Genomic DNA, 12136 nt, shown 5'->3' with positions numbered 1-12136 from the left:
AGAATCACTTGAACCTGGGAGGCGGAGGTTGCAGTGAGCCGAGATCGTGCCACTACACTCCAGCCTGGGTTACAGAGCAAGACTCTGTCTCAAAAACAAACAAAAAAACAAAGCTAGTTTTCCAAGCTGGTGGTCACTTACTGGCGAATACTACTTAGGTTCATCATGTATGTGTGAGAGCTCTCCCTCTGAATCACGAGTGCCTGATGGGGTCATTTTGTATGTGTGAGTGTCTTTTTACATTCACTTTCTAAAGTCATTTGCTTTGAACATGTTATGCTTATATTAATTTCCTTACTGCTTAGGAATCACTGCCTGGGGGAACTGACCATTACTTTCTACCTTCACTGAATGGAAAAGCCAGTATTCAATATTTATCTGAAAATGATTTGGTAGTTTAGGTTTTCTTTGTTGTAGTTGGGGTTTGTTTTGTTTTTAGGACACCTTGTTAGTGGTTGTTTCTGTTTTCATAATTCTTAGGTAACAGACATTAACTAAAGATTCCTGTGAACCTAACAGGGAGATCATATGACCCCATGACTGATGTTTACTCTTTTTAAAAACTAAACCAGGCTGCACTTCTGTGCATTCCCAGCTGGTATTTGCATGGGGGTGTGATGGGGGGTCTAAGCTGAGAGGAAGACACACAGCTCTCTCAGCATTTTTAGGCAGTCACACTTTCCAGCTGATCTTTTCCATTTGCAACAGGAACCACTGGGAGCTGTAGGTTTGGATTCAGTGGTAGGTGGTGATGGGTTTCTTTTTTTACATGGTGGTCTCTTCTACCTAGGAGACCACTACAATTTCAACTCCCTGGTCTTGTGAATCATTTCTCTTTTGAGCCTTTGGGTTTTATGACACAGACGAGGACTTAATTCCCAAATGCCATGCTTTTCTACCCACATGAAGAGAATGGCAGCCATTTTCCACACCTGCTGTGCTCATCAGTCCATCTCATTTTGCTTCCCCACATCTGAACTTGGAAATCCCCTGCTGGGCTTCAGGCCCGAGGCCTGTGTCAGAGCATCAATCAGGTCCGCGGGTCAGAGTTACCAGAAGGAGAGTCCTCTGCTTGCTCCTGCTCCTTGAGCAACCTGGCACGGGGTCTGTCCTGCCTGCCTTTTCACTCTCACTTGGTGGCTCTTTGTGGAGCGGCTCAGAAATCGGTTAAGAAGTTGGGAATCACTTCCATCACAGAGGGGCTGTTGAAGTTAGTTGAGCTTTTGAAGTTGGGGAAACTTCAGCTAGCCTCATTTCTCGCCTGCAGGCCGAGTCCAGTGGGAGGCTTTTGAGCGATACAGATGCCCTCCCTGTACACACATACTCGCACATACCCATGTGCATACAAGTGTGGGCACCCACCCACACCTCATCTAGACTGAGTCGGTGGGGACTGCCACTCTCCCCAAAAGGAGTCTCTTCTAATTTCTATTAATCAGGGTCCTGCACAAAATCAAAATCTTCAGAAGAGTAAGACACTGTTAAACCTTTTGAAAGCTCCCAAGGGTACCCTGGTTAGAGCCAAACAGCTGGATGGGGTCAGTCCTCACAGCAGAAGACCTGGGAGGGTGGTGCTCCCTCATAGAGCGCATTGATTCCCTGGCACGCCTTGAGGTGATGTCAGTGAAATCCCCGCAGGCTCCTCTGTGGGTGTCTCATGGCACCATCTCCACCTCAGTCTTGCATCCTGCCTTTGGAAGCCAGGGAGCGGCATCCTGAGCCTCAAGGCCTGCCGCAGGTACCTTCTAAAATAGCTCTATGATTTTTTGTTTACTTATAACCCAACTCACCAGGACTCACTTCCATTCACAGAGATATGCAGCCCCTACTCAGTGCCCTGCCAAATGTGGGCATGTTTGACCCCAGCTTCAGAGTCCCTGGCACCCAGGCAGCCAGCACCAGCCACCAGCCTCCGACCCGGATTCAGGGAGCCCCTTCAAGCCACTGGCTCCCTCAGCAGCCCCACTTCCCACTGCTGCCAGCCCTCCCCAGTCTCCAGCAGAACCTGCCCATGCCAGCTCAGAGATCTTCTGCAGAAACCAACGAGCTGAGGGAAGCCCTTCTGAAGATCTTCCCTGACTCAGAGCAAAGACTGAAAATAGACCAGATCTTGGTGGCCCACCCATACATGAAAGATCTAAATGCGCTTTCTGCCATGGTGTTGGATTGAAGATTGTGCTGAGCGCTGAGCTTGCGCTCAGGGCTGGCTGATCAAACTCAAGCTCACACCTGTACCTGATGGGAATGAACATAATGTGAAGAAACTTATTTCCCAGTGTAAACGCAGTTGTACAGAAAAAAAATGTTTTGGGTATAAATCTGGGTTTTCAAAACCAGCTTTTTTCTATATATAAATTATGCTGCTATTACAGATTTAACATTTTCTGTTAAAGGAAAGTCTACATTTTCTGCCTGTTCAGAACTGTTTAATAGCAGTTACTCTTGAGTGTATTTACCTTTTTATGTTTTTTAAACTATTTTCCTTAAAGCCGAAAATATTGACAAATGGATATGGTTAGCCTTTATAAATAAATAAAAAAAAAAGTGTTGCTTTCTTAAGGAAAGCAAGACGTCTTAAAGTATATTTTCTTGAGATGAGTATGTCCCATCACTACCATGAAGTGTGCTCACCCTTCCAGCCTCCTCTGCCCTCACCCCCGGAGTTAAAGTGGGTAAGAGTTGGTTTGTTCTGCAGTCTTTGGTTGGAGTGTTGTGAAAGTGGACCCGCGGTGCCACTAGATGGCACTTGGTGCCTAGCCATGGTGAATGACCAGGGCGAAGTTAGTCTCACAGAATACCAGGGCTAGAAGACATCGTGGAGCCCATGGAGTCCCACCCTCCTTCCCCCTTCCACCCTGCGCAAAAGGGGACGGCCCAGTGTGCACGCCGTCCGGCCATGCCCACAGCCACAGCCACAGCTGAGGAGTGGCCGGGCAGGCAGCAGGCTCCCCAGCCAGGGCTTGACACGCCCACAGTCAGGGGCCTCCACATGCCTGGCCTGGCTCTGGAAGTCACGTCTTAGCTTCTGAACACCGTAGCGGGTTATGAGGAAGTTTAATGAAGAGCCCGGTCACTGTGGCCATCTTGTGTCCCCAACTGCAGGAGACGCCCTGATGTGGAGTTTGTACAGCTTTGCCAAAAAATGGTTTTCTATTCTCAAAAGTGACCCAAGCCAATAAATAGCATTAGTAGCTTCTGTGGGGGGATCCCAGAGCCCCTGTATTTATTTTCCCTGTGTTTGTCTCTAGTGTCCTCCTAAACAGCCTTTCCTGTGAGTCTTTCTCAGAATTGATATCTTAATATTGTCTGTTCTAGGTGTTGCCCAAATTCAGTGTCAGTGAAGTTCTTTTCCTGGGCAATCTTAACATCTTTACTCTTATTGTCTGGACCTTCAAAGGGCTTTGTATTTTACACCTGCGCCCCCAGGCTGCTCACAGTCGGCTTGCTGCCTGTCCTGCCTGTCCGGATCTTGTCTCCTAGTCCTGAGGAGCGGAGGCTGAGAACTCAGTGCTGGTTTGTAAATGGTGAGGGGACTTGGGGGCATCCCAGAGTGCTCCCTCCAGGCCTGCTTCTTGGTTTTGTTTGATCACTGCGTTCTTCAAGGGATGAATCCAGAGCCCTCCATGAGGCCAAGCTTGTCCTTCAATCATGTTTCCTCTCAGATGCGTCCGTGATGCCTCCTAATGTGGAACTGGTTGTCCATTGTTTGGGCCTATGGCCAAGTCACCCAGCTGTGGAAGCAGAGGTAGAAGACGAGGCCAGCCAGGAGGGCGACTTCAGTCACAGCTCCCATGCCTCAGCTTTGTACCTGTTTTCAAAAGCACAACTGAGGTGTGCGGGCTGGAGCTGTCTTGCAGTGATTCTGGCCTTCTGGCTCATGGTTCAGTCCAGCAGCCTGGCTGACCCACTATTTCTCCTCTGCTTCAGAGGAAACCCAGGAAATGCCCTTACTGCCAGGCTGAGTCTCCACCCATGCTGGTTGGTGCTGGCTAGGCTGAGGGGGCCACCACTTTTCCTGGCTAGAAGCTACTTGACCTTTGATGTTTGAGTTCTGTAAGTCTTCGTGTTCTGACTTACTGCTTCAGAGGGATTGGCCTGTCCCCTTTCCCTTTCTCGGCTATGGGAAGGAAGGATTGCTCATTGGTTGCCTTCATCAGTTACAGCATGAGACGGAATTCATCATTCCTTCCGAAACCCCTGATATTTAATATTTAATATTTAAAAACCCAAATTATCAAACCATTAAGAACTCATTACTGGTTCTCAGCCTCCTCCAGTACTAGCCTCAGTGTGGCTGCTGCATAAGTATCTGTAGCCTGTCTACCTCCTGCAGTGGGGCCGCTCGCCTCTTCCCTGTCTACTGCTCAGGCTCTCCCACTTCGTGGCATCCATGTAAAGTAGGTGGCAGGGCAGAGATGTCACTCTCATTCAACAGGGAGGATGTCTGTTGCTCAGAGAGGTTGTCCTGAGGGGCTGGGTGATTCCTGGGCCTACATTCTTCCCGAGGCTCCAGGCCGCTGTCTCTGGAAGTAAAAGAGCCTTGTCTGACCTTAATGCAAGCAGTCTGTTTGAACCCCTGTAGGCTGCATTCAGGAGACAGAAGGTGTCTGGGCCATCCTGGGCGGCCGGTCAGCGTTGCTAGGCAGGCTCGGCTGTCTGGCCGGGACTTGGGCCTGGGTGGCTTTTGAGACCAGTGAAGAAGGGAGAGCCGGCCTCATGCCGATGCGGCTTGTGGCACGGCTGGGATGTGAGGGAGGACTCAGATCTACACACAGAAACCCCTCTTCTCCCCGCCCTCCCCCAGCTCCTACCTGCCTCCCACGCCTCAGGTGTGGCTGCCTGTGGGACCATCCCCCAACCCCTTTCCTCGCACCTCCTTGTCCTCACCCAGTTCCTGCAGTGTCTCTGACCCACGCCTCCCGCCTCCTGGCCGACTTGCCCAGGAGGTGTCTCTGGCTCACCTCCGTCTGTTCATCACCTTCCTCCCCAGTGTTTCCACTTATCTTGGATGTTTTAGATTGAAACAGCCTGATTCCCGGAAGAATCCTCTTCATTCATTGCTAGTGCTTCCCCTCACCTCCCACTCTCCACTTCCCAGTTTGCAAATGTGGCTTTCGCCCACCAAGTGAAAGCGGACTGAGAGCAGCCCTTGGGGACGGCCCGGTGCCTGGCTGCAAGGCCGCGCTGGGGCTCTGTCTTGGTGCACATGGCTTGACCGGACTTTCCCTGCTTCCCACCACTTCCCTCACTCCCAGACCTCCCTCATTCTTTTTGTCTCTTCTTTTTGCCTAAAGCCAGTCCTTAACACCCTATTCTTCCTCTGCAGGTGGCTTGCAGACTTTTCCCCACCTTTGGGGCTCGTGGTGGTGGAGAGGGCAGCTGGTGTTAAGAATGTAGGTTACCGGGCATGACCCGGCAGATGCTTGCCCAGTAGTTCTGGAGGAAGGCCCGGGAATCTGCAAATGAGCGCATTCCCCAGGCAGTTCCCATGCAGGTGATCCACGGACCACATGTTGAGAAACTGCAGTCACCCTTAGGGCCACACCGTCCCTCTCCTCGCTGTCCCCTCTCTGTAGTGACTGGCCCTGACCTTCAGGAGTGCACTTTCCACTCTACCAGGAAGCCCTATGACATCCTCAGGCTCCCCAGACCTGCAGCTTGCATGGGGCCCCTCCCTTCTTCCACACCCACCCTCCGTATGGTCCCCTGCTCTGCCCTCGTGCTTTGCTGGCCCCTGCCCGCTACTCCCACTCTCAGACACCCAGGGGTGGTGGGCCCTAACTGGCTGGCCCCTCCCAGCGCTGCCCTCTGCCGTCCAGATGCTGCAGTGTGGCCAGATTTACCTTCCAGTAACATACTTCTAGTCACCCCTCCTCCTGCGAAGTGATCTGCAGTGGCTGTTTGACCAGACCACAAAGTTCACATCTCCTGAGCTTAGTGTCCGTGGCTGTCCACCTCCCAGCCATACTTGACTGTCCCCAAACTCTCCCTGCAGCCACATGTTTCCCATGACCTGTGGGCTCTGCAGATGGACCTCTCTCCGCTAGAGATGCCCTTCTCCCAAATGGCTTCCCTCCTGGAAGGCCCAGCCTGAGTCCTCGTCTCCTTTCCAGTGCTTCTGCCAGAAGCATCCCCATGATGTTGTGACCGCACAGCACTTTGTGTCTCGCTTTGAGCACTTGCCACTCTGGCTGGTGCTGCTGCCACTGATTGTGTACTGTCTTGCTGCCCTTTCTAGACTGTGAGCTCCTCGTGGGCAGGGACCGCCTGTGTTCTCTGTATTTCCCACGGCGCCTAGCACAGTGCCTTGCACTTGATAGGTGCTTAATAAATGTCTGCTCAACTGAACTGGAGGACAGTGCCTTCTTGACTGCGGCATCTGGCAGCAGGACCAGTAAGAGGCCGGGAATCCACTGCCCTGCAGTGGGACAGTGGGGTGGGGCTGGGGTCACTCCACTCCCTTCTCCCTCCCCTGCCAGGCTCCAGCACATGGCATCCTGGGCACACAGGTCCGGGGAGGGGTACCTGGCGCAGGCTGCATACTAGATGCACTCAGGCTTCCTGGCCAGGGCCGACAGCCGGCCCAACCTATGCCAGTCCAAGTCACTCCTGGGGAGTTCCTCTGTGGTGGTGGGAATCGTGGGATGCCAGGCCCAGGTCTGTCAGAAGCCATTTTCCACCCTGGGGGAAGTCGACCTGTGGCAGGAAAGAAGCGGCGACGTGAGAGAGGTTCCTGGCAGCATGAGCCTTGGGTTCCTGTTGTCAGGAAAGCCCTTCCTCGGACGTCACCACACCCCAGTATTCTAACACACTTTTTGCTTAAGCTGGTCATTCCAGTTGGATTTACGTCCTTTGAAATCGAGTCTTGAGTAACACGTGTTACTGTCTTTAGCAAGGATTTGCAGATTGTTTAGAAAGGTCCAAAGACCTGCACAAACAGGGCTTCAGGAGTATCCACCCCAGTCAGAAAATGCTGGAAGGGGCCAACTATTTCGGAGTTGAGTAACTTGAAACTCAGGCCTGGTGCCCCTCAGCAGAGAACTCGGCCTGGCTCTCGAGCTGTTCCCTGCTGCCGTGGCTCTGTGCCCATCCCACTGCCTCTTCAGTCCCCTGACGGCAGTTCTTTTCCCCAGTTCCCTAGTTGGGCAAATGCCAGCACTGTTCATTTGGAGTTTGACTTTCTGTATACTTCAGAACTGTAACTAAGCATTATTTTATTATGCCTATTTTACAGATGAGGATTTCCTCACCTGTAAAATAGGCATAATAATGCTTTCTACTTCAAGGGTGACATGAGGAATAAACGTGGTGCTTAGAACTGTGCCCAACCCAGAGCCCCGCTCAGTGACTGCTACTGGGGCTCTGATCAGCAGCCCTGCGGACACCTACCTAACTATTCGCCACCCTTCCAGGTCATCCCACACCCCCACCAGCCAGGTCTTATCTCCAAGTGCTAAGCCGTCATCCTCCAGGTTCTGAACGCACTCCTTTATCCCTGTGGTCCAATGATGAGGGTGCTTAGGTTAGGGCCTACATTTCTTTCAGTGCCTCAGCAGGGCCATGGGAAGTCCAGCTGTTCTAGAGAGGGCATTGTTCCTTGAACAAGGCAGGCACTTGGGAGAGTCCCTCGGGTGCCGTCACCAGAGAGAGCACCCGGAGGAAGTGAGCACAGCCACTGCCTGCCTGCAGGGTGCTGAGAAAGCTGAGGCCGGCAACCAGTGTCGTGCCCTCACCACCCATGTGCCCGGCAAGCTTCTGTCTCCTTTAATCCTCACCTCACTCCTAAAGTGCTGCTGTTATTATCTCCATTTTGCAGAGGAGGAAACTGAGGTACAGAGATGCTCAGGAACTTCCATTTCTTCAAGCTAAGATGTCCAGGATTTAGGATTTGAATTCCAATGGGCCATCCCACCTCCCTGAAAGGCAAAGCTGCACCAGAGGTGACTCAGCAGCTGGTATGGCACCTAAGATACCTCCACCCTTCAAGGAAAAGAATTGAGGGCCCATGACAGACCTGGGTCAAGGCTGTCAGTCTTCAGGGCACAGGGAGGCTGCGGAAGGAAGCTGCCTCCCCACTTCCTGCTTGGTGGGCCCGTATCCAGCCCTGTTCCTGCGAGAGGATGCCAAGAGCATATTTTTTTAAAGAAGTTGACCAGTTCTGCAGAAGCTGTGTCAGGAGTGAGCCCATGTATGCATCAGAGCCACCTTGCACTTCATTTCGGGAAACACAGATGAGTTGATGTTGATTGGAAACTGTACGTGGCCTTTTTCCCGGCTCAGGTTCCAATCCCCTACACACCGAGGATGCCAGGGCTGGGGGCATTCACTGGGGAAATGGACTGGGCAGGCAGGGATTTGCCCAGAAACAGAGCAGAAGTACCCACAGCCAGTGCTGGAGCCAAAAGCCCAGAGGCTTAGGGCTTCTTAAACCAGCCCCCTTTCACCCCCTCCTGCCTGGTGGCTTCAGCTCCCAGAGTCACAGGACTCCAAACCGCAGACTCCAGCCTTTGGGGCTTTCCTTCCCCAGCCCCGAGTCCCCAGGGAGCCCTGCTTGGCCCCACAGCCTGAAACCCAGTCTGGGGTCAGGCCTGGGCAGGCCCTGTCCTCCCCTCCTCCCTGCTTCTAGCGAGAAGAGGAGGCGGCGGCCTCCCCCAAAAAGAATGCGCTTGTCTGCCCGCCTGTCTGGCTCCTGGATCAGTCTAAAGTTTCAGCCACCAAAACAGGCAGCAGGAAGAAGAGGGCCTCCCGCAGCCTGCCCCTAGCAGCTGCGCACGTGGGCTTGCTCAGGGGACTTCCCCCAAACCAGGGTGTCTCTCAATGCCAGCAGGACCCTCTCCCCTTGCCAGCCCCTCAGGATCCCTGGCATGTCACACCTCCACTCTGAGAAGGGCTGGGAACCCTTACTTCTTCCCACTGTGTGGCTAAGGGACATGAGGCCCAGCCGGTGAGGGGTGGGGCCCAAACCCCTCATCCCCTCCGGATGCTGCACCTTCCCAGCCCCTCCAGGGTTCCTCCATCCCTGGTCTTGAGCAGCCACTTCATGCAGGGGACAGTGCCAGGGAAGGGAGAGAACAACCAGAATGGCCCTTCTTCTGAAGGCCTCATGCCCAGCCAGCCCGTGGAGTGAGGGCATCACCTGCTCCTGCACTTATTCTCCGTGACCTTGAGAAAGTTACGCAGCCTCTCAAGGCCTCGGGCCCTCATCTGTCAAGGGCTAGTGCTGCTGCCCTCAGAGCTGGTGGTCTGTGACCCTGGCTGTGCACTGGGATCCCCAGGGGCAGCGCTGCCCAGGCCACACCCCAGACCCTAGAGATCAGAATCTGACATCCACGTTTTCTGGTAATCCCAAGTGACCCGGCGTGCCCTCATGGTTGAGAAACACCTCCCTACTAAAGAGTAGTTGCAATGGTTGCAACCAGGACTGAATCCTAAGAAACGGGCCTGGCTCCTGGGAGAGTCCTTCCCATCCTGAGTCCCACGGTGAGGAAGGCACCTTTGCACCCAGGCCGGTGAGTGTTCCCTAGAATACATGTGGCTCCAGCGAGGGTCCCTCAGGGCCTCATCTGACCTTTGGTGGTTTTCAAATCCCAGGCCCTACAGAGGCAGGACACAGAGTGGGGCACGGAGCAGGGGAGGCCAGGACCCCTCCGGCTCCCTCCTGGTTCCTGAGTACCAGTGGGGCTGGCATTGGCATCAGGTGTTTCTCCCGACCTGGCCCCACTGTGTGTCCTCACCTCCTGACAGAAGCTGGCTTAATTACATGTGGGGACAATTTCTGCACAAGAGGGAGGAGAGCAGCTGGTACCCATTGAGCTTGCAAGCTTCTTTCCACAAAGCAGCGCCTTCATCCTCCCCACTGTGCACTCCCTGCAAACCCTGGTCACCATCCCACAGGCACCAGGGACCTGAGAGCCCAGCAGGGCCAGCCACACCGCTGAGAAGGGAAGGAGGAGGCCACCCAGTGGAGAGCCCTCGTTTCACAGTTGCAGTGTGGACAGAGGCCCAGCTAGCTTGGGTTGCCCATGGCCATCAGCTGTTCGGTAAGGCAGGACTGAGTCCAGGTCTTATTCCCACATTTGTTCTTTCCACTGCCTCCCCTGAAGATGAGTTTCTTTTCCCTGTGAGCCTTTTCTAGTTGTCTGACACTCCCAGCTTTAATAAACCCCCACCTCCCCAGCCCAGGAACTCTGGCTTTGAGGACCACCCAGAGCATCTCACACCCGTAGAGGTGGGGACGGTGGAGCGGGACTGCCAGTCACCTGGTCCCTCCCTCCGAGAACTCTGGCTCTAAGAAGGCACGAGGCATAGCTGGAAGAGGCCCTCGTCCACCATTTGGCCTCTGCGGAGGTGGCGTCCATCCCAGACCTTCGAGCACTCCAGCTTATCAGAATTACTATCCCCAGCCCAAACCACCCCTTTGGGGCTTGGAATCCCGGTATCACAGGGACCACAAGGAAGATGGCCATTCATTCATGCCTTGATGTCTACCATCCTCTGTTTATAGCTTCTGCATTCTAAATGTCTGCTGGGATGGGCCACTGTGGAGGCTGACAGCCTCACAGGGCAGGGAAGTCAGAGCCTGGAAGTATAGATGGGGTGGAAGGGAGCTAACTGGGCTGGGGAGGGGTGCTGCGGATGGGAGAGCGCTCGCACAGGGAAACAGAAAATGGAAAAGAAGATTCCGTGGGGGAGCTTTAGAGGAACTTGTAAGTATCTTGGAGCTGGAGAAGTCAGGGAAGAGGGTCTGGCTATATCCTAAGAGATGTATTCTGCCTCCTCTCCCCAGCGTGGAAGGCCAGCTGGGTGCACACTCTCCTCTGGAAAACCCTACCCAAGCCTGCGTTTCTGCACCTTGGAGACAACTCTGGCTCCAGCCTTCACTGACTCTTGTAACAAGAGGGCAACCAGTTAACCTAGCTCTATTCCTGGGGCGTATTAAGGGGATGGCGGGGTCGAGATGGGGGCCTTCGATGTATGGAGGACTCACTGTTCAGCTGCTTCCAATGTCTGTTCTGGAGGGCTCAGCCTGTCAGTAGCACGAGATGGCCCAAAGGTCCTGGTACCAGATGATGGGGCTCAGTCTTCCCAAGACCACTGAGATGAGCCAGCTCCTCTGCAGAACCCACAGTCTGTCTGCACCTCTGGCCTCCATGTGCACCCTCCTTGAAGGGCCAGGACCCAGGGGAAAGTTAGCCCTGCTGCCCAAGACTGCACAGTTCACAGCCTTCTCTGGCAGCAGGAAAATGCATCTGGTTCCTCTTTGGGGAAAAAAAATCAAGTTGGTTTTTCTTTTTGTTTTTTGTTTTGTTTTGTTTTTTTTAATGGAGCACAGTCATTCCTAATCATGACTTAACGTATGTAACTTCTACTCAAGAGGATCCCTTAACTGCCTGGAGTCTCAGTGACCCCTGCCTGTACACTTGGTCACCCTGGTTTGCAAGCGAATACCATTGTCCATTTACATCCAGCAAGCCCTACATAACCAGGGTTGGGGTAGTTCTTTTTCCTTTAGTCAACTTTTTTATTTTTATTTTTATTTATTTATTTATTTTTTGAGGCGAAGTTCTGCTGTGTCATCCAGGCTGGAGTGCAGTGGCACAATCTCAGCTCACTGCAACCTCTGCCTCCCGGGTTCAAGCAATTCTCCTGCGTCAGCCTCTCAAGTAGCTGGGATTACAGGTGCCTGCCACCACGCCCGGCTAATTTTTGTACTTTTTAGTAGAGACAGGGTTTCACCATGTTGGCCAGTCTGGTCTTGAACTCCTGACCTCAGGTGACCCGCCCACCTGTGAGCCATCGCACCAAGCCACAACCTCAATCAACTTTGTATGAATTTTTAAAAGGCTTCACTCTGGAATACTGTGCAGCCACAGAAAAGAATGAGATCATGTATTTTGTAGAAACATAGATGTAGCTGGAGGCCATTATCCTTAGCAAACTAACATGGGAATAGAATACCAAATACCTCATGTTCTCATTTATAGGTGGGAGTTATTAATAAATGAGAAAACTCATGGACACAAAGAGGGGAACAACAGACACTGGAGTCTATTGGAGGGTGGAGGATGGGAGGAAGGAGAAGATTAGGAAAAATAATGCACGACAAACCCCCATGACACAAGTTCCCTTATATAAC

General features: G+C 52.9%; 1 protein-coding gene across 2 annotated transcripts in view, besides 6 other annotated features; it reads left to right on the top strand.

The window, feature by feature from the left end:
- Positions 1-6348, top strand: part of N4BP1 (NEDD4 binding protein 1) — a 71455-nt gene extending 65107 nt beyond the window's left edge. For both annotated transcript variants that reach the window (XM_011523482.2, NM_153029.4), the window contains one exon: positions 1813-6348. In XM_011523482.2, coding sequence (XP_011521784.1) covers positions 1813-2170 — 358 coding nt within the window. In that variant the 3' untranslated portion in view covers positions 2171-6348. The remainder of the gene's footprint in view (positions 1-1812) is intronic.
- Positions 2452-2952: an enhancer, noted in NCBI's record as "H3K4me1 hESC enhancer chr16:48576033-48576533 (GRCh37/hg19 assembly coordinates)". NCBI's record gives its function as "activates a minimal SCP1, AML or CMV promoter by ChIP-STARR-seq in naive H9 embryonic stem cells {active_cell/tissue: H9 hESC(naive)}" and the evidence as "EXISTENCE:reporter gene assay evidence [ECO:0000049][PMID:30033119]".
- Positions 2953-3453: an enhancer, noted in NCBI's record as "H3K4me1 hESC enhancer chr16:48575532-48576032 (GRCh37/hg19 assembly coordinates)". NCBI's record gives its function as "activates a minimal SCP1, AML or CMV promoter by ChIP-STARR-seq in naive H9 embryonic stem cells {active_cell/tissue: H9 hESC(naive)}" and the evidence as "EXISTENCE:reporter gene assay evidence [ECO:0000049][PMID:30033119]".
- Positions 6001-6500: an enhancer, noted in NCBI's record as "H3K4me1 hESC enhancer chr16:48572485-48572984 (GRCh37/hg19 assembly coordinates)". NCBI's record gives its function as "activates a minimal SCP1, AML or CMV promoter by ChIP-STARR-seq in primed H9 embryonic stem cells {active_cell/tissue: H9 hESC(primed)}" and the evidence as "EXISTENCE:reporter gene assay evidence [ECO:0000049][PMID:30033119]".
- Positions 7440-7509: an enhancer, noted in NCBI's record as "active region_10797". NCBI's record gives its function as "activates an Ori minimal core promoter by ATAC-STARR-seq in GM12878 lymphoblastoid cells {active_cell/tissue: GM12878}" and the evidence as "EXISTENCE:reporter gene assay evidence [ECO:0000049][PMID:35858748]".
- Positions 8270-8339: an enhancer, noted in NCBI's record as "active region_10796". NCBI's record gives its function as "activates an Ori minimal core promoter by ATAC-STARR-seq in GM12878 lymphoblastoid cells {active_cell/tissue: GM12878}" and the evidence as "EXISTENCE:reporter gene assay evidence [ECO:0000049][PMID:35858748]".
- Positions 8370-8739: an enhancer, noted in NCBI's record as "active region_10795". NCBI's record gives its function as "activates an Ori minimal core promoter by ATAC-STARR-seq in GM12878 lymphoblastoid cells {active_cell/tissue: GM12878}" and the evidence as "EXISTENCE:reporter gene assay evidence [ECO:0000049][PMID:35858748]".

Source organism: Homo sapiens, chromosome 16 (genome assembly GCF_000001405.40).
Source record: "Homo sapiens chromosome 16, GRCh38.p14 Primary Assembly".
Lineage (NCBI taxonomy): Eukaryota > Metazoa > Chordata > Mammalia > Primates > Hominidae > Homo > Homo sapiens.
This window is presented reverse-complemented; position numbering and strand designations above follow the sequence as displayed.